Source organism: Homo sapiens, chromosome 10 (assembly GCF_000001405.40).
Source record: "Homo sapiens chromosome 10, GRCh38.p14 Primary Assembly".
Lineage (NCBI taxonomy): Eukaryota > Metazoa > Chordata > Mammalia > Primates > Hominidae > Homo > Homo sapiens.
This window is the reverse complement of record NC_000010.11, coordinates 13,275,724-13,300,143: the sequence shown is the minus strand read 5'-3', so window position 1 is coordinate 13,300,143 and position 24,420 is coordinate 13,275,724. Positions and strand designations below refer to the sequence as shown.

At 45.6% G+C, this 24,420-nt stretch overlaps 1 protein-coding gene across 6 annotated transcripts, besides 2 other annotated features; it reads left to right on the top strand.

Moving 5' to 3' along the window:
• Nucleotides 74–493: a silencer, noted in NCBI's record as "silent region_2152". NCBI's record gives its function as "represses an Ori minimal core promoter by ATAC-STARR-seq in GM12878 lymphoblastoid cells {active_cell/tissue: GM12878}" and the evidence as "EXISTENCE:reporter gene assay evidence [ECO:0000049][PMID:35858748]".
• Nucleotides 80–22,345, top strand: PHYH (phytanoyl-CoA 2-hydroxylase). 6 transcript variants are annotated; one of them, NM_006214.4, is made up of 9 exons: nucleotides 80–176; nucleotides 1,899–1,957; nucleotides 4,538–4,648; nucleotides 5,548–5,716; nucleotides 8,232–8,313; nucleotides 11,603–11,784; nucleotides 16,305–16,454; nucleotides 19,034–19,168; nucleotides 21,790–22,345. In NM_006214.4, exons 1-9 carry the CDS (start codon nucleotides 102–104, stop codon nucleotides 21,841–21,843), a joined length of 1,017 nt encoding a protein of 338 aa, NP_006205.1. In that variant the 5' UTR covers nucleotides 80–101; the 3' UTR covers nucleotides 21,844–22,345. The 6 variants fall into 6 exon arrangements, with proteins under 6 accessions (NP_006205.1, NP_001310011.1, NP_001310012.1 ...); NM_001323082.2 differs by having other exon boundaries at nucleotides 8,232–8,319; NM_001323080.2 differs by lacking the exon at nucleotides 80–176 and adding an exon at nucleotides 381–724.
• Nucleotides 470–1,090: an enhancer, noted in NCBI's record as "H3K27ac-H3K4me1 hESC enhancer chr10:13341054-13341674 (GRCh37/hg19 assembly coordinates)". NCBI's record gives its function as "activates a minimal SCP1, AML or CMV promoter by ChIP-STARR-seq in naive H9 embryonic stem cells {active_cell/tissue: H9 hESC(naive)}" and the evidence as "EXISTENCE:reporter gene assay evidence [ECO:0000049][PMID:30033119]".

Below are 24,420 nucleotides of genomic sequence, written 5' to 3'. Positions count from 1 at the left end.
CCCGCTTACGTCCAGTCCGGGGCGGCGCCTGGAGGCGGAGCCGCCCGCTGGGCTAAATGGGGCAGAGGCCGGGAGGGGTGGGGGTTCCCCGCGCCGCAGCCATGGAGCAGCTTCGCGCCGCCGCCCGTCTGCAGATTGTTCTGGGCCACCTCGGCCGCCCCTCGGCCGGGGCTGTCGTATCCTTTGGGCTGCGCGGGGCTCGGGCTGGATCCGGCGCCGGCGCCGCCGCCTGAGTGGTGGCCCTGGTCCGGGTGGAGGCCTCGGGGTCGCACGCTTCGCAGCCCCAGCGCCTCCTCGCTCAGCGCCGCGTCCCCGCCTGGGTCGCGTCTCTTCCAGGAGCCGGGGAGCGGGGAAGAGGCTGCGTCCCCCGAGGACACGCGCGGCCGCCCTGGGGTCGGGGCAATTGCCGCGTTGCCCTGCCCTCCGGGATCCCTGGGGGCCTCTGCTCCTCTCTTTGTGGAGACGTCGTTTCACCGGCGGCGCGTGACCCCGGCAGCTGTCCAGAGACCCAGAGATGTCCAATCACAGGCGCACGGTGCACAGGCGCGCAGGGCTGCCTGGAACCGGCCCAGGCAGGCAGTGACCGGGACCTCTCCGGAGGGGAGAGGACGGTGCCCTCCCGGGCAGGAGCTGGCCAGGCAGGCGCTGCCCAGGGCGGCCTCCCTGCTGGACTACGGCATTGCCACTGAGTTATATAAAGACACTATTTGGGGAAGGACAGCGGGTGAGGACTGGCGCGGCGGCACACGCCTTGCCTGTTGTCTCGGCTCTTCTGGGGGCCAAGGCCAGGAGTCCAGGGTTACAGTGAGCCGTGATGGCCAGTGCGTTCCAAAAGAGAGAAACAGAGAGAAAGAAAGGATAACATGTTAATTGATGAGAGTGACATTCCGAAAGTAACCGATTAAGCTAAAGAAACAATGCAATTCTATGTCAACTCTCTGCAGTTACCGGATAGAAAGGAGATCTTTAAAAGGAATTTCTAGGGTTTTGCTTTTTTGGTTTTTTTTTTTTTTTGAAACAGGGCCTCACTCTGTCACCCAGGCTGGAGTGCAGTAGTGGTACGATCTCGGCTCACTCCTGGGCTCAAGAGATCCTTCCACCTCAGCCTCCTAAGTAGTTGGGACTACAGGGTTGCGCCACGATGCCAGGCGAATTTATGTTGTTGTTGTTATTGTTGTTATTATTATTATTATTATTATTATTATTATTATTATTATTATTTTTGAGACGGAGTCTTGCTCTGTGGTCAGGCTGGAGTGCAGTGCCGCACTCTGCAATGTCGGCCCACTGCAACCTCCGCCTCCCAGGTTCAAGCCATTCCCCTGCCTCAGCCTCCCAAGTGTAATTTGTATTATTATTATTAGTAGTAGTAGTAGTAGCAGTAGTAGTAGTAGTAGTAGTAGTAGTAGTAGTAGTAGTAGTAGTGGTGGTAGTTTTTTTTCTGAGATGGAGTCTCTCTCTGTTGCCCAGGCTGGAATGCAGTGGCCTGATCTCAGCTCACTGCAATCTCCACCTCCCAGGTTCAAGCAATTCTCCTGTCTTAGCCTCTCCAGTAGCTGGGATTACAAATGAACGCCACCACGCCTGGCTAATTTTTGTATTTTTAGTAGAGATGGGGTTTCACCATATTGGTCAGGCTGGTCTCGAAATCCCGACCTCAGGTGATCCATCCGCCTCGGCCTCCCAAAGTGCTAGGATTACAAACGTGAGCCACCGCCCCCGGCCTAATTTGTATTTTTAGTAGAGATGGGGTTTCACCATGTTGGCCAGGCTGGTCTCGAACTCCTGAGCTCAAGTAATCCTCCTGCCTCAGCCTCCCAAAGTGCTGGAATTACAGGCATGAGCCACCGTGCCTGGCCTTCTATATTTTACTTTATTTGCCTTAATTCACATCCTAGGTAGCTCATCCCACTTCAGGGACTATTTCCTCTGCCAGTTTCCATCCTCAACAATTCCAGTAAGTAGTTTGAGTTTTGATTTTGAAATATATTATGTATATAAAAGTTTCTTGAGTGGTAATGAAGATATACCACATAATATGTTACCTGATTAGAATTTTATTATACAAATCCTCTGTTTCCAGGACTTATTCTAATTAGTGCACTTGTGGAAAATTTTGGAGACCGACTAATTTTCTGTATGTATTTTAAGATTCAGAAAGAAGGAAAAATACCAGAAAATACATAATCCGACATTTATTTATTTATTTTTAATAGAGACGGGCCCTTCCTATGTTGCCCAGGCTGGTGTTGAACTCCTGGGCTAAAGCAATCCTCCTGCCTTGGCCTCCCAAAGTGCTGGGATTGCAGCCTGAGCCATCACACCAGCCTTATAATCTGACTTTTAAAAATTCAGTTAAACATCTCATTTAAATTAACTTGTGGCCGGGCACCGTGGCTCATGCCTGTAATCCCAGCACTTTGGGAGGCCAAGGCAGGTGGATCACTTGAGGTCAGGAGTTCGAGACCAGCCTGGCCAACATCTCTACAAACCCCACCTCTACAAAATGAAAAAATACAAAAATTAGCTGGGCATGGTGGTGTGCACCTATAATCCCAGCTACTCAGGAGGCTGAAGTGGGAGAATCGCTTGAACCTTGGAAGTCAAGGTTGCAGTGAGCTGAGATCACGCCACTGAACTCCAGCCTGGGTGATAGAGCCAGACTCCATCTCAAAAAACAAAACAAAACAAAACAAATTAGCTTGTATTTGGTTATATGGACATATTAGCTAGCATCTTTGGTTTATCTTAAATCACCTTTAAAGGGGAAGATCTTGACCTTCCTAAATATTCTCATACAACCACAATTCCGATCTTAAGGAATAGGTTGGGTGATTTGAGTTTATGGGTATGCTGTACATTTATTTGGATTTTGTTACTTTACCTTCTTGGAATGCATCAACTGGACAGTTAAAAATATACAATTTATTGAATTTGTTTCCCATCTGAAAAATCATATGTATTCATTACAGAAACATCAGAGAAATAGAAGGAATTTTAAAAAATCATCCCTAATTCCATTTCTAAAGGCAATCACTGTTAAAAATTGCTTTGGTGTATTTCTTTGCAGGCTTTTCTTTTTTTCATATAGTGTCTTGGTTTTACATAATTGTAATAATATTTTATTATAATAAGCATTGTCCATACTATTTTTTATTTTATTATATTTTATTATATTTTATTTTATTTTGAGACCGAGTCTGGCTCTGTCGCCCAGGCTGGAGTGCAGTGGTGCCATCTTGCTTCACTGCAAGCTCCGCCTCCCGGGTTCACGCCATTCTCCTGCCTCAGCCTCTCCAGTAGCTGGACTACAGGCGCCAGACACCATGCCGGGCTAATTTTTTGCATTTTTAGTAGAGGCGGGTTTCACCGTGTTAGCCAGGATGGTCCCGATCTGACCTCGTGATCCGCCCACCTCAGCCTCCCAAAGCTAGGATTACAGGCATGAGCCACTGTGCCCGCCATCCATACTATTATATGGCCTTAATTTTTAATGTCTGAGTCATATTCCACTGAGTGAACATAGTGTCACTAGTTAATTTTTCTTCCACTAATGCACTTTTTTTTTTTTTTTTTTTTCTGAGATGGAGCCTTGCTCTGTCACCCAGGCTGGAGTGCACTGGTGCAATCCTGGCTCACTGCAATCTCCACCCCCACAGGTTCTAGCGATTCTCCTGCCTCATCCTCTTGAGTAGCTGGGATTACAGGCACGCTAATTTTTGTATTTTTAGTAGAGATGGGGTTTCATCATGTGAGTCAGGCTGGTCTCGAACTCCCGACCTCAGGTGATCCACCTGCCTCAGCCTCCCAAAAAGCTGGGATTACAGGCATGAGCCACTGTGCCCGGCCCACTAATGCACTTGTTTTGGTGACATAAAGCGTAAGTTTTCAGATTATTTCCTTGGTCTTAGAAATGCTGAATTGAAGAGCATGAACGTTTCCTAGGTTCTTGTTTTTGTCTTTGTTTTTGTTTTTTGAGACGGAGTCTGGCTCTGTCGCCCAGGCTGGAGTGCAGTGCCATGATCAGAGCTCACTGCAACCTCCGCCTCCCAAGTTCAAGCGATTTTCCTGCCTCAACCTCCCGGGTAGCTGGGATTACAGGTGCCCACTACCATGCCTGGCTAAACTTTGTGTTTTCAGTAAACATGGGGTTTCACCATGTTGGTCAGGTTCGTCTCAGACTCCTGACCTCAGGCGATCCACCTGCCTCGGCCTCCCAAAGTGCTGGGATTATAGGCATGAGCCCCCACGCCTAGCCTCAGGTTCTTGATACATATTTTTAGGATGTAATTTAAATTTTTTTTTTTTTTTTGAGACAGGGTCTCACTCTGTCGCCCATGCTGGAGTGGAGTGGCACAACCAGTATTTTTTGTAGAGACAGGGTTTCATCATGTTGCCTGGGCTAGTCTCAAACTCCTGACCTCAAGTGATCCACTTGCCTCGGCCCGCTAAAGTGCTAGTATTAGAGGTGTGAGCCATTGTGCCTAGCCTGTAATTTAAAAATGTAACTTATTTTGGGATTCTTTTTCTCCTTTAGGTATACTCTGGATAATAACGTTCTAACCCTGGAACAGAGAAAATTTTATGAAGAAAATGGGTTTCTAGTAATCAAAAATCTTGTACCTGATGCCGATATTCAACGCTTTCGGTACAGTAACACTATTTGTTATTTTACAATAGTATGTATTGTGTGCATGTAATGAGAATACAAGGTGGATTCGCTCCTGGCTTTACAGATGTTTTTTAATGATTTGGTTTGTTGGGAAGTGTTTAGAAGCATGGGCTCTGGTGCCAGACTGGCTTTTTATTTTTTATAGAGAAAGGTTCTCACTCTGTTGTGTAGGCTGAGTGCAGTGGTGCGATCATAGCTTACTGCGGCCTCAAGTTCCTGGGCTCAAGCAATCCTCTTGCCTCAGCCTCCTGAGTAGCTGGGACCACAGTTGTGCACCACCATACCCAGCTAATTTTTTATTTCTTTGTTTTTAGAGACAGGGAGTCTCACTATGTTGCCCAGGCTGGTCTTGAACTCCTGGCCTCACCCTCCTGAGTTGCTGGGATTACAGTCGGGAGCCACCATGCCTGGGCTTCAGTCTCAGCTCCACCACTTAATATCATGTGTCCTGGGGCAATTTACTTCACATCCCATGCCTCTGTTTCCTCATCTGTAAAATGGGGATAATAATAGCACTTATGTCCTAGTGTTGTTATTAGGACTAAATACGGTGAAATATATGGAAACCACTTTGAAGAGAGCTGGGCACATGGTAAGTGTTACAGAAATGTTTGCTGTTATTATTATTACAATGTAACCAAATTATAAAAAGACTTCCCTACTGGTATGCTAAACTAGGGAATAATTTAATTCTGGGAATGGATTCTAGCCAGACAGTTTCTCCTCCCTTTCATTGGAATTATTCTACCTCAAGCTGGAGGCCAACTTAGTGCAGAGAAACCACCCCTCAAGTCTGCAACCCTTTCCACAGAGGAGGGCAGGGCAGGTGCTTGGAGCCAGCGGTAACGACATCATTTGCAAATTAAATTTTCTAGGAATGAGTTTGAAAAAATCTGCAGAAAGGAGGTGAAACCATTAGGATTAACAGTAATGAGAGATGTGACCATTTCGAAATCCGAATATGCTCCAAGTGAGAAGATGATCACGAAGGTCCAGGATTTCCAGGAAGATAAGGAGCTCTTCAGATACTGCACTCTCCCCGAGGTCAGAGACCACCCTTGCTTTGCGTCGGCTTAATTGCCAGTGTGTATGTCTGCCTGTAAAACCCGCTGATTTGGCCGGGCGCAGTGGCTCACTCCTGTAATCCGAGCACTGTGGGAGGCTGAGGCAGGTGGATCGCTTGATCCCAGGAACCACTGCTCTTAGAGCTGGATATGGAAAGGAGTTGAATTGAGTAAAATCAGTGGGTTTTATTTTGTTTTCTTTTCTGGAGACAGAGTCTCGCTCTGTTGCCCACGCTGGAGTGCAGTGGTGCGATCTCGGCTCACTGCAACCTCTTCCTCCCAGGTTCAAGTGATTATCCTGCCCCAGCCTCCCAAGTAGCTAGGTTTACAGGTGCCTGCCACCACACCTGGCTAATTTTTGTATTTTTAGTAGAGAAAGGGTTTCACCATATTGCTCAGGCTGGTCTCGAACTTCTGACCTCGTGATCCACCCACCTCGGCCTCCCAAAGTGCTGGGATTACAGGCATGAGTCACTGCGCCTGGCCAGTGTCCTACATTTCTGAAGAATGGGACCAGTATCTGGTGGTCTATGCCATGATTTTAGGAGGTATAAATTATTTTAATAGATATTTATTTTTAAATGTATTGGAAAAAAACTCAACAGTCTACCAAACTCATGATTTCAAAAATGTTGTTAATTAGGACAAGATTAAATAAAAAGGCCAGGCGAAGTGGCACTTTGGAAGGCTGAAACAGGAGAATCACTTGAGGCCAGGTGTTCAAGACCAGTCTGGCAACATAGTGAGACCATTGTCTATATTGGAAAAAAAGAAAAAAACAAAGATTGAATAAGAGAAGTGAGCTAACTGCCGGGCGCGGTGGCTCATGCCTGTAATCCCAGCACTTTGGGAGGCCGAGGTGGGCAGATCACGAGGTCAGAAGTTTGAGACCAGCCTGAGACACATGGTGAAACCCAGTCTCTACTAAAAATACAAAAATTAGCTGGGCATGGTGGCGGGCGCCTGTAATCCCAACTACTCAGTAGGCTGAGGCAGGAGAATCGCTTAAACCCGGGAGGCAGAGGTTGCAGTGAGCCGAGATCATGTCATTGCACCTAGCCTGGGCAACAGAGCGAGACTCCATCTCAAAAAAAACAAAAACAAAAACAAAAAACAAAAAACAAGTGAGCTAACTAAGGGTAGGGAAATCATTGGCTAAATAACAGTACAAGTTATGTCAGAAGTTGTGAGGATGGCTCTTGAATGGCTGGCATTTAGAAAATCCCAGCCTAGATGAATACAAAAAAATACCAGGCTTTATAAAAAGCAAGTGTGTGCCTGACTGCTAGGCTTTTAATAACCTTTCCAGGGTTTCATACTCAAATTGCCAATATTCCTTATACACAAGAGATCAAAAAGTGAGGAAGCAGTAGAAGGTGGCTTATTTTTTGGAGTCTTTTTTTTGCAGAATCAAAATTTGAATATCATGGGTTGTTTTATTTTCTTCTTCTTCTTCTTTTTTTTTTTTTTTTTTGAGACAGAGTCTCACTCTTGTTGCCCAGGCTGGACTGCAGTGGTATGATCTCAGCTCACTGCAACCTCTGCCTCCTGGGTTCAAGTGATTCTCCTGCCTCAGCTTCCCAAGTAGCTGGGATTACCGACGTGTGCCACCATGCCCGGCGAATTTTTGTATTTTTAGTAGAGATATGGTTTTGCCATGTTGGCCAAGCTGGTTTTGAACTCCTGACCTCAAGTGATCCGCCCGCCTCGGCCACCCAAAGTGCTAGGATTACAGGTGTGCGCTAACGCACCCGACCTCAGTGTTGAGCCCTTTCTGCTTTTTCCCTCTCCGTTGCTGGGTTCTGTACACAAGGTAGCGGCAGCCCAGCTCCCAGGCCCCACGACTAAACCAGCTCTCCCTGTCACGGTTCCCCATGTTAGCCTTTTCTTCATAATGCAGTGTCCCTCGGCCACTCTGACCCATGTCATTACTGGGTTAACATTTTTCATCTAACTCCTGGGACCTGCTTTGCTTGTTCACTCTTGCTTCCCCATTTCCCGTCACCTCCTGGTTCCCAGATCTCAGTAATGAGTTGTCAAGTGCCAAGCGTCCCCGATTGTCAAATGTCCTCCAAGCCACCATTCTGCTTTCTTCCGGGCTATTCATGACAGCTGTGAATTGTATGGGACTCTTCGTATGCAGAGGCTCCAATGAGGAAGAGGAAACTGCCCTCCCACTGAGCAACCTTCTGTTGCTTGGGTTGACAAGAAAGCTATATTAATATCTCATCGGAACTCCTATGTTTCTTGTAGAGAAAAAATGGTTTCATTCCCAGCTAGCTCAGAAAAAGCCCATTTCATTCCGTGTTATAGATTTAGAATGATTTCCAATGGCTGGGTTTTTCATGCTTTGTTTGCAATGTTGTGAAATACCGCTTGGTTCTTAAACTATTGCCTTCTTGGTTCTTGTGTGGATAGCTACTGTACTTTGTACCAGTTGTCAATACTTCTGATTTCCCACAAGGTTTGTTTTTGTTTTTTTTTTGCTTTCTTAGATTCTGAAATATGTGGAGTGCTTCACTGGACCTAATATTATGGCCATGCACACAATGTTGATAAACAAACCTCCAGATTCTGGTAATTGTAAGGGAGAAGAAAAAAAAATGGTTTCATTAAAATGTGTAAGGTTGGCTGGGTGCAGTAACTCATGCCTGTAATCCCAGCATTTTAGGAGACCAAGGGAGGAAGATCTCTGAGGCCAGGAGTTTGAGAGTGGCCTGGGCAACATAGTGAGGCTCTGTCTCTAAAAATAAAATTTAAAAATATCCAGGCATGGTGGTATGCACTTGTAGTCCCTGCTATTGGAAGGCTGAGGTGGGAGGATCACTTGAGCCCAGGAGTTGAAGGCTGCAGTGAACCTATAATGGCATGCTCTCCAGCCTGCGTGACACAGTGAGACCCTATCTCTACATAATAAATAAAACAAAACAAAACAAAATAATAAAATAGCTGATGTCTAACTGTAATCATGTGTACAACTGTCAAACTTTGGATAAGGAAGTCTTAAAATAACTTACACTATAACAACAGTGAAATGTGGTAATTATTTCAGATATTAACTGTAGGACTGTTGCTGAATTTTCAGATGACTGGCTCCCCAAAAATGCAGTTTAACCGACATAACTGTTCATATATCAAAGGTTCCTGCCATTCGACGTCTCTAAGCTTGATCAGCTCTTTTTAGCTGTGATAGTGTGGATTCTTGCATTCCTGATAGGAAGACATTATTATTACTAACACAATTAAAATTGTTACTATGAGTCACAAACTATAGTGGTCTTTTTTTTTTTTTTTTTTTTTTTTGAGATGGAGTTTTGCTCTTGTTGCCCAGGCTGGAGTGCGATAGCGCGATCTTGGCTCACTGCAACCCCCACCTCCCAGGTTCAAACAATTCCTGATTCTCCTGCCTCAGTCTCCCAAGTAACTGGGATTACAGGCATGTGCCACCAAGCCTGGCTAATTTTTGTACTTTTAGTAGAGACAGGGTTTCGCCATGTTGGTCAGGCTGGTCTCGAACTCCTGACTTCAGATGATCCACCTGCCTTGGCCTCCCAAAGTGCTGGGATTACAGGTGTGAGCCACCGCGCCCAGCCTATAGTTGTCTTTAAAATGTCTTGTGCTTGCTAAAATGTAGAATCTAAGACCTCATTGGCAGACAGACTGATTGAGAAATATAACCCAGGTTTCTGTATTTTAATAACCTTCCTCAAGCTGGGCGTGGATGTGCACCTGTGGTCCCAACTACTCAGGAGGCTGCGGGGGGAGGATCGCTGGAGCCCAGGAGTTCAAGTCCAGAGATTGTAGTGCAGATCACTTGGACTACACTGGGAAATTCCTCTGTGCCTGCAGTAAAAATCAGCCATGAGAGAGTCCCCCTATCCTTTCTGCCTTTTCTTCCTTCTGATCTGCAGGAGGGGTTTATGTGATAGAAGGCAGCTTAGCATTACCAGGTCTCTCCCTCCTTGAGGAGAGCAGGTGTTCGGGAGCCACACTCAGGGAGCAAACCAGGGGAAAATGTCAGTGTGGTCATGGGCACTCCGACTGGACATGGAATGACTATAGTTGTGGGGGGTGAGGACCTCTTAGATAACTTTTTTTATTTTTATTTTTTTTGAAATGGAGTCTTGCTCTGTTGCCCAGGCTGGAGTGCAGTGGCTCAATCTCGGCTTACTGCAACCTCTGCCTCTGGGGTTTGAGTGATTCTCCTGCCTCATCCTCCTGAATAGCTGGGATTACAGGTGCCCACCACCACACCCAGCTAATTTTTTTTTTTTTTTTTTTTTTTTTTTTTTGGTATTTTTAGTAGAGACAGGGTTTCACCATGTTGGTCAGGCTGGTCTCGAACTCCTGACCTCAGGCAATCTACCCGGCTCAGCCTCCCAAAGTGCTGGGATTACCGGCGTGAGCCACCGTGCCCGTCCTGTTTTGTGTGTTTTTTTTTCTTTTTCTTTTCTTTTTTTTTTTTTTTTGAGACAGAGTCTCACTCTGTCGCCTAGGCTGGAGTGCAGTGGTGCGATCTTGACTCACTGCAACCTGCTGCCTCCTGGGTTCAAGCGATTCTCCTGCCTCAGCCCTCAGCCTTCCAAGTAGCTGGGAGTACTGGTGTGCACCACCATGCCCAGTTAATTTTTGTATTTTTGTAGAGACGAGGTTTCATCATGTTGGCCAGGCTGGTCTCAAATTCCTGACCTCAAGAGAGCTGCCTGCCTCAGCCTCCCAAGGTGCTGGGATTACAGGTGTGAGCCACTACACGTGGCTTAGAACTTTTTTTGACATCAGCCACTTCAAAGGGGATTTCAAACTTGACTCCATATCACTCTCTTCAATGTAATTAATGCAACTGGTTTTTGAACATGCATTACTGCATGCTAGGTACTGTGCCCAATCCAGGGTCACAAAAGAATAAAGCACAAGGCCGGGCGTGGTGGCTCACGCCTGGAATCCCAGCACTTTGGGAGGCCGAGGCGGGCGGATCACGAGGTCAGGAGATCAAGACCATCCTGGCTAACACAGTGAAACCCCGTCTCTACTAAAAATACAAAAAATTAGCCGGGCGTGGTGGCGGGCGCCTGTAGTCCCAGCTACTCGGGAGGCTGAGGCAGGAGAATGGCGTGAACCTGGGAGGCGGAGCTTGCAGTGAGCCGAGATCGCGTCACTGCACTCCAGCCTGGGCAGCAGAACAAGACTCCGTCTCAAAAAACAATAACAACAAAGAATAAAGCACAACAGAGATGAGGATGTTATACCGCTTGCTGGAAAATAGTGTGCATAAGTACTTAGCTACCAGCAACCCGGAAGAAGGGAGTGCGGGATTTGAAGATGTGGAGCCAGTGTGTTGATTTCCAATTTGGTGTTTATCTCTCCGGGGCTGATTTTCTCTAGCATTATTTCATTTGTTTGGTTCTTCTGGGGACAGGTCATTGTTTTTTCAGGCAAAGGATAAGAATTCTGAGACCAGCTTTTTTTTTTTTTTTTTTTTTTTTTTGGTTGGGGGTGGGGGACAGGGACTCGCTCTCTGTCACCCAGGCTGTAATGCAGCAGTGCAATCATAGCTCACTGCAGCCTCGACCTCCAGGCTCAGGTGATCCTCCCACCTCAGCCTCCCAAGTAGCTGTGACTACAGGTGCATGCCACCACACCCGGCTAGTTGTTTTTGTTGTTTTGTTTTGTTTTGTTGTTTTGTTTTCTGTAGAAACGGAGTCTCACTGTGTTTCCCGGGATGGTTTTGAACTCCCAGGCTCAAGCCATCCATCTGCCTCAGCCTCCCACTTTGGGATATATTTTTATATCCCAAAGTGCTGGGGTTACAGGCGTGAGCCACTGCACTCGGCCTCGAGTATCCTTTAGTAGCAGGTTTTCTTTTCAGGCAAGAAGACGTCCCGTCACCCCCTGCACCAGGACCTGCACTATTTCCCCTTCAGGCCCAGCGATCTCATCGTTTGCGCCTGGACGGCGATGGAGCACATCAGCCGGAACAACGGCTGTCTGGTTGTGCTCCCAGGCACACACAAGGGCTCCCTGAAGCCCCACGATTACCCCAAGTGGGAGGTAGGTCTGCCCGGCGGCTGAGTCTTGATCCGAATCTCCTTCGCAGTTTCTGTTTCACATCAGTACCTCTAAAGAGTTTACAAATGAGATGGCATTTCCTTTCTGAGCAAAACATTGTCCTAAGATTTGCAGTGAGGATCAGAGAAAGTTCAAGGATGTCAGAGAAAACATTCATCACACCTATTTTCAACACTTTTTTTGTTTGTTTGTTTTTGAGACAGGGTCTTGCTCAACTCACTGCAACCTCCAACTCCCAGGTTCAAGCCATCCTCCCGCCTCAGTCGCCCTAGTAGCTGGGACTACGGGTGTGCACCACCACGCCCGGCTAATTTTTGTGGTTTTAGTAAAGACAGGGTTTTGCCATGTTGGCCAGGCTGGTCTTGAACTCCTGACCTCAGGTGATCTGTTCACCTCGGCCTCCCTAAGTGCTGGGATTAAAGGCATGAGCCACTGTACCTGCCCTTAACACGTGTTTGAAAGCCAGCCAAGGTGGGGAGCTTGGGTAGGTACTGTATAGGATCCGAGATTGTAAGTCCTAGCTGCAGAGGTAAGACATAAACCCTTCGACCCCAGATGTGTGTGGTAGACACCAAGTCAGTCTTACTCACTAACTGATGGCTCTCAGAGTAAGGAAGGAGAGATTGTCTCCTTGCAACTGCAGAGACCAGCAAAGGATCTGGGGAGGCTGGTGTCTGACCTGAGCCTTGCAGGACAGTGTACAATGTCCCATAGGGAAGAGTCGATATAGGAAGGCACAAGGTCAAGGGCAAGCCTGAACTTGACCAAAGAACAGGAAAGACCCAGGGAGCTTGCAGTCTAGATGGGCTGGGCGCTGGGGGTGTATTTTGGGGAGCAGCAGAGGAGGTGAGCCCAAAAATGTACATTAGGACCAGATTAGAAAAGACTGTTTTACTAACAAGTCTGCAGTTTATTTGGGGGAAGAATGGGAACTTTTTAGTTCAAACTTTTAGGAAGATCGAAGACCCTTTTTGTTTTTTTGTTGTGTTTTGTTTTGTTTTGTTTTTGAGGAGTCTCACTCTGTCACCAGGCTAGAGTGTAATGGCACGTTCTCGGCTCACTGCAACCTCTGCCTCCTGGGTTCAGGTGATTCTCCTGCCTCAGACTCCCGAGTAGCTGGGATTATAGGCGCGCACCACCACACCCAGCTAATTTTTGTATTTTTAGTAGAGACGGGATTTCACTATGTTGGCCAGGATGGTCCTGATCTCTTTAACTCGTGATCCGCCCACCTCTGCCTCCCAAAGTGCTAGGATTACAGGCGTGAGCCACCACACCTGGCTGAAGAGCTTTTAATTAAAAAACAAACAATTAAACAAATAAACAGTTTCATTGAGGTATAATTGTCATGTAAATTGTACATATTTTGCATGTATAATTTGATCATTTTCCACACACACATACCTGTGAAATCATCACCACAATCAAGATACTCCATCCTTCTCCCTGCTCTAGGCAACCACTGAGCTGCTTTCTGTTACTGCAGGTTAGTTTGCATTTTCTAAAATGTCATAGACATGTAATCACATAGTATAGATTTTTTTGTCCCGTTCTGGCTTCCTTCACTCAGTGTAGTGATTTTGAGGTTCATTGATGCTGTTGTGTATGATAGTAGTTTTTTGTTGTTTTTTTTTTTTTTTTTGAGACAGAGTCTCACTCTGTCACCAGGCTGGAGTGCAGTGGCACGATCTTGGCTCACTGCAACCTCCGACTCCCTTGTTCCAGCAATTTTCCTGCCTCAGCCTCCCGAGTAGCTGGGACTACAGGCACAAGCCACCATGCTCAGCTAATTTTTATATTTTTAGTAGAGACGAGTTTTCACTATGTTGGCCAGGATGGTCTCGATCTCCTGACTTCGTGATCTGCCTGCCTCGGCCTCCCAAAGTGCTGGGCTCACCGCGCCTGGCCAACAGTAGTTCTTTCCCTTCCCTTGCTGAGTAGTATTCCATTGCATGGCTGCACCGTGAACCATGGTTTGTTCATCCATTCAGCTGCTGATGCTTGGAAATGTTAAATGCATTTGAGCTCATGAGTGATGGGATCAAATCGGCTCTTCAAGGACAGTAATGTCACGTTCTGGTGCAGGACGCGTTAGAGGTATAGGCATCTAGAAGCAAAGAAACCAGAGAGATGACTATTAACGCGTTAGGTCTAAGGTGAAAAGACCCTGTGGGAGCCAAAGTGGGAGGATCGCTTGAGCCCAGGAGTTCAGGACCAGCCTGGGCAACACGGTGAGGTCTCATTTCTAAAAATAATAATAATAATAATTAGCTGGGCATGGTGGCGCATGCATGTAGTCCCAGCTATTCCAGAGGCTGAGGCAGGAGGATTACTTGAGCCCAGGAATTCGAGGCTGCAGTGGGCTATGTTGGTGCCACTGCACTCCAGCCTGGGTGACAGAGCAAGTTCCCGTATCAAAAGAAAAAGAAAAGATCCTGGGCTGGGCGCAGTGGCTCATGCCTGTAATCCTAGCACTTAGGGAGGCTGAGGTGGGCGGATCACTTGAGGTCAGGAGTTCGAGACCAGCCTGACCAACATGGAGCAACCCTGTCTCTACTAAAAATACAAAATCAGCCTGGTGTGGTGGCGTGCGCCTGTAGTCCCAGCTACTCAGGAGGCTGAGGCAGGAGAATAGCTTGAACCCAGGAGGTGGAGTTTGCAGTGAGCTGAGATCGCGCCACTGCATTCCAGCCTGGGCAACAAAGCAAGACTCCATCTCAAAAAAAAAAAAAAAAGAAAAGAAAAGATCCTGGAATCCCATGATGCTGCGAATGGAAAGAGCCCCCATTGTTAAAGCAGGGAGAATGAGTTGTAGTTCGATAGGAAATGAGGAACATGGTTTTAGGAACTCCTAACTCGTCTGGACACAGTGGCTCACGCCTATAATCTTAACACTTTGGGAGGCCGTGGCGGGTGGATCACTTGAGGTCAGGAGTTTGAGACCAGCATGGCCAAGATAGTGAAGCCCTATTTCTACTAAAAATACAAAAATTAGCCAGGCATGGTGGTGTGTGCCTGTACTCCCAGCTATTCGGGAGGCTGAGGTAGGAGAATTGCCTGAACCTGGGAGATGGAGGTTGCAGTGAGCTGAGATCGCACCACTGCACTCCAGCCTGGGCGACAGAGCAAGACTCCATCTCAGTAATAACAATAATAATAATAATAGAACGTCTCAGATTTCTTGCACCAATAATTAGTGTCAAATGAAAATATGTGAGTGTCTGGATCCTGATATAAAACCATTTAATGTGAAACTCATCAGTGAAGCCAAGGTTTAAAGTTTGGTGCATGCAACTGCAGTGGGCTTTGGCTGACAGAAGGCAAAGGGAAAAGTTTGCAGGGCTTCCAGAGCGTGTGGAGTCTCAGATACCCTGCTCAGATGCAGAGTGGGAGGTATGATTAGCTTAGTGTGGGTCACACATTCACCCTGGCCAGGAGAGAAGGGCTCTGGGTCAGAGTCTCAGCACTGTCTAAGAGGGATGTCGTCATTCCCAGAAGGAACTGGGGATGCTCTTAGGAAGAGGAATGGGCTGCTTCCCTTACCCTGACTCCTAAGGTGCTTCTCATGTCAATTTCTTTAATAAAGACATAACCGCATTACCTAAAGTAGCAACTAATTTGGGAAATAGTTACAAACAAACACAGTGTTTTAATTTACTATTCTTTCATTATTCTGGATGTAACATAAGTGCCTTTGAGCTCAGAAAAATTGAGCATTTTCTCCCCCCTATTTTGGGGAAATAGCTTCTCAGAGACACTCCTGAGTAAGAGATGAAGGATTTATTTAAAGTTCTGGGCGAGGAGGAGAACACACTGGGAACACTCACAGTTTCAGGCTGGAAATGCCCAAGAGATAGGTGGTTGCCTGCATTAACCACAAAAGGCAAAGCTAAGCTAGATCTTCATGTATAATGCAGTCATGAAGGGCAGGTGGAAATTCCACACTGTTCATTTCCTCCAAAAAATCAGTGATTTTAATATCAACATGTGACTTCTTTTTTTTTATTACCATTATTTTTCGAGACAGAGTCTTGCTCTGTTGTCCAGGCTGGAGGGCAGTGGTGTGATCATGGCTCACTGGAACCTCCCCCTCCCGGCTCAATCGATCCTCCCACCTCAGCCTCCTGAGTAGCTGGGACCACAGGCTGGCACCACCACGCCCAGCTAATTTTTGCAGTTTTTGTAGAGATGGGGTTTTGCCATGTTGCCCAGGCTGATCTCAAACTCCTGAGCATAAGCAATTCTCCCAACTTGGCCTCCCAAAGAGATGGGATTACAGGCATGAACCACCATGCCCGGCCAAAATGTGACTCTTAAAAACCAGATATCTGAGAGGCTTTTGTATACTGAAAAAAATGTAAGCATTTAATTTAGACATTTATTTCTCTTGGGAGAGAGAAATGCTTTCTTTCCCTGATGTTTGCTTTCCCTGATGAACCATTGACAATGTTTTTAATTATGGTACTCCCTCAAATGTAGACTTCACTTGCCTCTTGTTCTAGGGGGGAGTTAACAAAATGTTCCACGGGATCCAGGACTACGAGGAAAACAAGGCCCGGGTGCACCTGGTGATGGAGAAGGGCGACACTGTTTTCTTCCATCCTTTGCTCATCCACGGATCTGGTCAGAATAAAACCCAGGGATTCCGGAAGGTAAGCATTCACATTGCTGCACCTGCTGCAGAAGTGTGGGTTAGAAACAAAAATTGTATTCAATTCATTGAATTCAAATTAATTGAATAAAATTTTAATTAAATTGCATTAACATTTTAAAGATTTGTGGCTTTTAACCAACCTGGACTTTAGTCCAGTTTATTTACCAGGAAATATATTTGCTTACCTTGGGCTTTCTGTGCTCTTATCAGTAAGAAGCCAGGTGACCTCAGGATCCTAACCTTGTCAATATTGATTATGGGCCGGGCGCGGTGGCTCATGCCTATAATCCCAGCACTTTGGGAGGCCAAGGCGGGTGGATCACGAGGTCAGGAGATCGAGACTATCCTGGCTAACACAGTGAAACCCCATCTCTACTAAAAATACAAAAAATTAGCTGGGCGAGGTGGCGGGCGCCTGTAGTCCCAGCTACTCGGGAGGCTGAGGCAGGAGAATGGCGTGAACCCCAGGGGGTGGAGTCTGCAGTGAGCCGAGATCGCGCCACTGCACTCCAGCCTGGGCGACAGCGAGACTCCGTCTCAAAAAAAAAAAAAAAAATTGATTATGAAAGCCAGGTGCAGTGGCTCATGCCTGTAATTCCAGCACTTCCGGAGGCTGAGGCGGGAGGATCACTTGGGACCAAGAGCTCTAGACCAGTCTGGGCAACATGGCGAGACCCCACTTCTACTAAAAAAGAAAAAATCACTGTTGTCTCCTGAGGCCATGGGTTAGGGGCCAAATTTCGTCTTCCATTCATTCATATTTCCACCAGCCTCATCAGGGTCAGGATTAGGGTGGGACAAGTTGGGGCACTCTCTCCAGGGGTAAAATGTAAGGGGATGCCAAAAAAAGACTCTGCAATCGAGTTTAGTAACATTTTAATGCGAAATTTAAAAAAATCAAAATTAATGCAAAATACCCAATGTATTGGCTGCGCACAATGCCAAAAGTTTAAATAAAAGACACTATTGGACCCCACACTAGCACAACCTTCAGAGCTGTGCAAGTAGCGAGGTGCAGGCACAACGACACAAATCATGTTGTGGGTTTTAATATATAGACTTGGCAATTTTCCTTTTTTCTTTTTTTTTTTTTTTTGAGGTGGAGTCTCACTCTGTTGCCCAGGCTGGATTGCAGTGATGCAATCTCAGCTGACTGCAACCTTGGCCTCCCAGGTTCAAGCAATTCTCCTGCCTCAGCCTCGTGAGTAGCTGAGACTACAGGCACACGCCACTATGCCCAGCTAATTTTTGTATTTTTTAGTAGAGATGGGGTTTCCCCAGGTTGGCCAATCTGGTCTCGAACTCCTGGCCTTGAGTGATCGTCTCACCTTGGCCTCCCAAAATGCTAGGATGACAGATGTGAGCCATCTCGCCTGGCCCAATGTTTTTTAATGCTTTTATTTTAAAACATTTTATTATTTGTTTATATATTTATTTGAGACAGCATCTTGCTCTTTTGCCCAGGCTGGAGTGCAGTGGTGCAATCATAGCTCACTGCATCTTGGAACACTGAGGCTCAAGCCATCCTCCCACCTCAACCTCTCAAGTAGCTGGGACTACAGGCATGCATGACCACACCTGGCTAATTTTATTTTTTCATTTTTTGTACAGACATGGTCTTGCTATGTTGCCCAGGCGAGTCTTGAACTCCTGGCCTCAAGTGATCCTCCTGCCTTGGCCTCCCAGAGTACTGGAATTACAGGCATGAGCCACCGTGCCCAGGCTTAATGACTTTAATGTTCTGGGAAAATATTACTATAATTTCATAAAGATACAGATATAGGGGTGCGTGTTTTCCCTTTGCCTTGGGCTCTGTTACAGTGCCGTATGGCACCAGGGCTTACAGAGGCAATGGAGTTTGTGACTCCACTCCCTAGAAATTTGTTGTTTGGGGCAAAGTAGAAAGTCTTTCTGACAAGTGTGATCACTTGTGACAAAAAAGGTAAGTTTTAACGATTGCCTTGCAGCTTAGATCTGTTTATAACTTTTTCTAAAATAGGGAGAACCAAGCAATTTCATCCTTACCCTCAGAAGGAAGCAAGAGGGGTAATATATGTCACTGGTATTGGCTTTTAAATGTCCTTTTGATTTGAGAGAAGGTGTCTGCATTATTTTCTATCTCAAGGTATTTTTAGTTCTTTTCATAATCTATTGCCACTGAAATAACAATTCATCCCAAATTGGACCAGGTAACTAACTTATGAGATAAACTGCCGTGGAATGCAGTCCTTCTTAAGACTTTGGGATATTCATTCATTAGGAAAATAAAATGCTAAAAAAAAAAAAAACTAAATACCTCTTACTGACATAATTCCATTCCCTCTCCCATATATACCTTTCAAAAATACATGTCACATCTGGTTAACGATCTTTTGAAATTTCTCAATTAACTTCTAGCTGGAAACAAAAACAGGCTTAGTTACAAAGAGATTGACACAGGATGCAATGGACCTGACTTTCCACTTAGAAATCAAATACTGAGTGAAATAAATGACTTTCTAAAAGAAAGACTCCCTGCTTGGTCACTGGTATTCATGGGATGTTTTTCTCCAATATCAATTTGTTCACTTTGCACAGGCAATTTCCTGCCATTTCGCCAGTGCCGATTGCCACTACATTGACGTGAAGGGCACCAGTCAAGAAAACATCGAGAAGGAAGTTGTAGGAATAGCACATAAATTCTTTGGAGCTGAAAATAGCGTGAACTTGAAGGTATGTTTGTATACAATAGCAAGGTAAAAATCTCAGGTTTTTCTTTTCTTCAGATGCTTCATAATTCTCATACCTAGTTTATTTGACAGTATATAGTGCTTGGGTTTAGATTCATTTTAGGGACATCGCTGAGCCCCCACCAAAAATGACAATGGAATTTCCATTTACACTTGTGCCCCCGTGCAGGAGGCTTGAGAACTTCCTGCTGCTTCTTTATGTCTTGGGGCTGTCCAGAGGTGTGCTGGCTGTCCTGTTTCACACAGGACAGTAAAGGAAAACAAAACTACAGATTGAGATGAGAGAAAATCAAAGACAAAACCTTGCCTTCTGGCTGGGCATGGTGGCTCATGCCTGTAAATCCCAACACTTTGGGAAGCCAAAGCAGGAGAATCACTTGAGCTCAGGAGTTGGAGACCAGCCTGAGAAACACAGTGAGACTCCATCTCTACTAAAAAAGAAATAAAAATAAAAATTAGTCAGGTTGGGTGGAGCATAGCTGTAGTCCCAGCTACTCGAAGGCTGAGTTGAAAGGCTCACTTGGAGCTTGAGGTCAAGGCTGCAGTGAGCTGATTGCACTACTGCACTCCAGCCTGGGTGACAGAGTGAGACCATGTGTCAAAAAAAAAGCCTTCTGAAGGGATAGAAGGAAAGTTATAGGTTTGAGATCCAATCATAGGCCATGTTTATTAATATAGAATAGAGTATTTATGGCTGGGCGAGGTGGCTCACGCCTGTAATCCCAGCACTTTGGGAGGCCAAAGCAGGCAGATCACAAGGTCAGGAGATCGAGACCTTCCTGGCCAACATGGTGAAACCCCGTCTCTACTAAAAATACAAAAATTAGCTGGGTCTGGTGGCACATGCCTGTAGTCCCAGCTACTCGGGAGGCTGAGGCAGGAGAATGGTGTGAACCCAGGAGGCGGAGCTTGCAGTGAGCCGAGATCATGCCACTGCACTCCAGCCTGGGCGACAGAGCGAGACTCTGTCTCAACAACAACAAAAGAAGGAATCTTGCTTCTCCCTTTAGAACCTGGAAATGTGTCGCATCTCTGAAAATGCTCTGATTTTGCATTTGCAGGTCCTAGAAATTCTTGTCCTTCCTCACTTTTTGTTCAGTACCTAAAATGCCTATACATTTTGTCAACTGGAGCTTTGAGCTAACATCCTAAATTTTAAGGGAGAACAAATATATGTACATTATGTTTGAGGTTTGTCAAGGTTGTGCTAAATGAATACCTCCCACATTTAGTTTAATTACTCTGTAAGTTATATTTAGAATAACAATATTAACCTCTGCTACATAGTTCTCTGTAAAGTACAAAAGCACATTCATATTCATTTTCTTATTTTCTTCACCAAAACCCGGTGGGGCAGTATAAACTCCATGCTGTCAATGACAAGAAAACAAATCCCAGAGGCTGATCTAAGCTAGCTAAGCGACAAAGCTTGATTTTAGAGTCAGGTCAAATCTGAAAATTATTCTTTCCACCATACCTTGCTGTTTGCTCAAAAATAAACAAGAACCAAGAAATAAGAACATCTAAATTATTTTATTAAGGGCAGAGGGGGAAGAAACCCACCAAACAAAGCAGTAATCCTTGATACCATGTTCACTATTATCATCTCATCAAGAGTAGAACACTCAAAAAGGCTCAGACAAGTAACATAAGAGTCATCAGGCCAGGTGCAGTGGCTCACTCCTGTAATCCCAGCACTTTGGGTGTTTGAGGCGGGTGGATCACCTGAGGTCAGGAGTTTGAGACCAGCCTTACCAACATGGTGAAACCCCGTCTCTACTAAAAATATAAAATTAGCCGGGTGTGGTGGCACATGCCTCTAATCCTAGCTACTTGGGAGGCTGAGGCAGGAGAATCATTTGAACCCAGGAGGCAGAGGTTGCAATGAGCCAAGATGGTACCATTGCACTCCAGCCTGGGCAACAAGAGCAAAATTCCGTCTCAAAAAAAAAAATTATGCAGAAAAATGGCAGTGAACTGTTTGTTCTGTAACCCGACATGACATTGACCCAGTTATGTTAGCTGGCACCAACAAATATCCTGAATAAAACAGAACTGACAGCAGCTGGGGGACCCACTGACTTAATTTAGTTAACACTGTTTTAGAAGTCGGTTAAGTAGACCAGGAGTGGTGGCTCATACCTGTAATCCCAGCACTTGGGAGGCTTTGCAAGGCCAAGGCGGACAGATCACTTGAGGCCAGGAGTTTGAGATCAGTCTGGCCAGTGTAGCGAAACCCTGTCTCTACTGAAAATACAAAAAGTTAGCTGGGCGTGGTGGTGCACACCTGTAATCCCAGCTACTCGGGAGGCTGAGGCAGGAGAGTCGCTTGAACCCGGGAGGCAGAGGTTGCAGTGAGCCGCTGCACTCCAGCCTGGGCAATGGGGTGAGACTGTGTCCCCAAAAAATTTTTAAAAAAGAGTTGAGTAAGTAGTTTAAGTTGAGTTGTTTTGTTTACTAATGAATATAACTTACAGGGATTATTTTCCCTATGTAACCTTTCATAGAAGCTAGAAATCAATTTTGTGTTATGGTGAAATTGAAGGTTAATGGAGGGCAGATTGAAGTGTTCCATAAACCCACTCTGTTTGATATTATTTCCAGGATATTTGGATGTTTCGAGCTCGACTTGTGAAAGGAGAAAGAACCAATCTTTGAAATAGCCATCTGCTATAACTCTTTCAACAGAAAACCAAAACCAAACGAAATGTCTAAGGAAAATGTTTTCTTAATGAGATGATGTAACCTTTTCTATCACTTGTTAAAAGCAGAAAACATGTATCAGGTACTTAATTGCATAGAGTTAGTTTTGCAGCACAATGGTGTTGCTTTAATGGAAAAAAAAAACAGTAAAAGTGAAATATTACTGTTTTAAGGAAAACTAATTTAGGGTGGCAGCCAATAAAGGTGGTTGGTGTCTAATTTAAGTGTTAAATCAATTTCTTTCATTCAGTTAGCTCTTTACCCAAGAAGAAGTGAATGATTTGGAGCTTAGGGTATGTTTTGTATCCCCTTTCTGATAAACCCATTCCCTACCAATTTTATGTCATAAGAGATTTTTTTCCCCCAAATCTAGAACAATGTATAATACATTCACATCTAGTCAAGGGCATAGGAACGGTGTCATGGAGTCCAAATAAAGTGGATATTCCTGCTCGGACAAGGGCTTTCTCCTGTGATTTCTTCAACCCAACCATTCCCTTAACAAGAAGACTTGTTCTTTCCAGTCCTTTCCTCTGTTCCTGAAGAATGAAGACAAGGGCCAGGTGCAGTGGCTCACGCCTGTAATCCTAGCACTTTGGGAGGCCGAGGTGGGTGGATCACCTGAGGTCAGGAGTTCAAGACCAGCCTGGCCAACATGGCAAAACCCCATCTCTCCAAAAATACAAAAAAAAAAAAAAAAAATAGCCGAGCGTGGTGGCATGCACCTGTAATCCCAGCTACTCAGGAGGCTGAGGCAGAAGAATTACTTGAACCTGGGAGGCAGAGGTTGCAGTGAGCTGAGATCACACCACTGCACTCCAGCTTGGGTGACAGAGCAAGACCCTGTCTCAAAAAAAAAAAAAAAGGAATGAAAAATAAATAAATAAAAAGAACGAAGATGAGGGTGACTTCATTTGATGTATCTTATTGGGTAGGGCTGCTGGAAACTTTCCACATTTATGAATGAAGCCTAACCTCCTTCAAGCTATAGGGAACTTTTTAGATACTTTTCCCTGGATTTGGAGTGAGCATGGACTGAACAAACTTATTTCAAGACAGCACCATATTTTCGGTACCAGCTGAGGGCAGCAAGGAGACATAGTCCTTATTTTTACAAATTTTAGTTAGGGCTTTAGTAAGAAAGAAATAACAGAGTACCTTTCTTGTCATTCTGCTAAGCACAAGTTTTCCTAAATCTAGTGTTGCCATGAGTGCCGTTTTGTTTGTGAGGACAGCCAAGTGAAGCTCATCTCCCACTGGGAACTGGAGAAGGCAGATCACTGACAGAATCTAAGGAAATTAGATTATGGGATGATTGGAAATAAAACGTAATAAAGGAATGCCTGTGTAAACAACATGTGGGGAGCCCTGCTTTGTTATGGAATAAACTCTAAATTGTTTCAAATTTAAAGTGAATATGAAAAACTAAATTTCAGTAGGAATATTGAAGAGCAATTTGTTATTTCCTGTGTGCCTTTGTGAGTGAAAACCAACTGGTTGCCATCAGGAAACATTCATTTCCCATCTGATCCATGTCCCTTTTGTCCATTAGTGCATGTAAGAAATATTCAAGCACCCACTCTTTTTTTTTTTTTTTAATTTTTTTGAAGACACGGTCTTGCTCTGTCACCCAGGCTGGAGTGCTGTGGTGTGATCTCAGCTCACAGCAAACTCTGCCTCCCAGGTTCCAGTGATTCTCCCGCCTCAGCCTCCCGAGTAGCTGGGACTAAAGGTGCACGCCACCACACCCAGCTAATTTTTGTAGTTTTAGTAGAGACGAGGTTTCACCATGTTGGCCAGGCTGGTCTCAAACTCCTGGCCTCAAGTGATCCACCCACCTAGGCCTCCCAAAGTGCTGCGATTACAGGCGTGAGCCACCGCGCCCGGCTAAAATATCCAAGCACCTACTCTATGAAGTGGGACTAGATGTCAGGATGAGGTAGGGTGCCTCAAACTGTCCGCGCGGACCTGTCCTGTGAAAGGTGGCAGTCAGGGTTGGCTGGAAAATGAAGAGTCAGGGAAGGAATTCCACCAGATTTCATCAGACTGAGGGGAGGTGGGAGGGGATTTGTCCTGGGCTCATGTCCATTTCACCAAAGTCTAGTCTAAAAGGACTTTATAAGGTGCTCGAACAAATCACAAAACAAAACAAATTGCAAGGATCCTCTTCTGTGAATTTTGAGACTAATAGCTTGGGAAAACTGGAGGCCTTTGCTCCTTGTGTGTGCTTGGAGCCTCCCCCTCCCCCACTCTTTTTTCTATGGTTTTTTTTGGGGGGAGGAGTTGTTTATTTGTTTGTTTTGTTTTGTTTTGTTTTTGAGACAGAGTCTTGCTCTGCACCCAGGCTGGAGTGCAGTGATGCGATCTCGGCTCACTGCAAGCTCCGCCTCCCGGGTTCACGCCATTCTCCTTCCTCAGCCTCCCGAGTAGCTGGGACTACAGGCGCCCGCCACCACGCCCGGCTAATTTTTTTTTATTGTTAGTAGAGACGGGGTTTCACCATGTTAGCCAGGATGGTCTTGATCTCCTGAC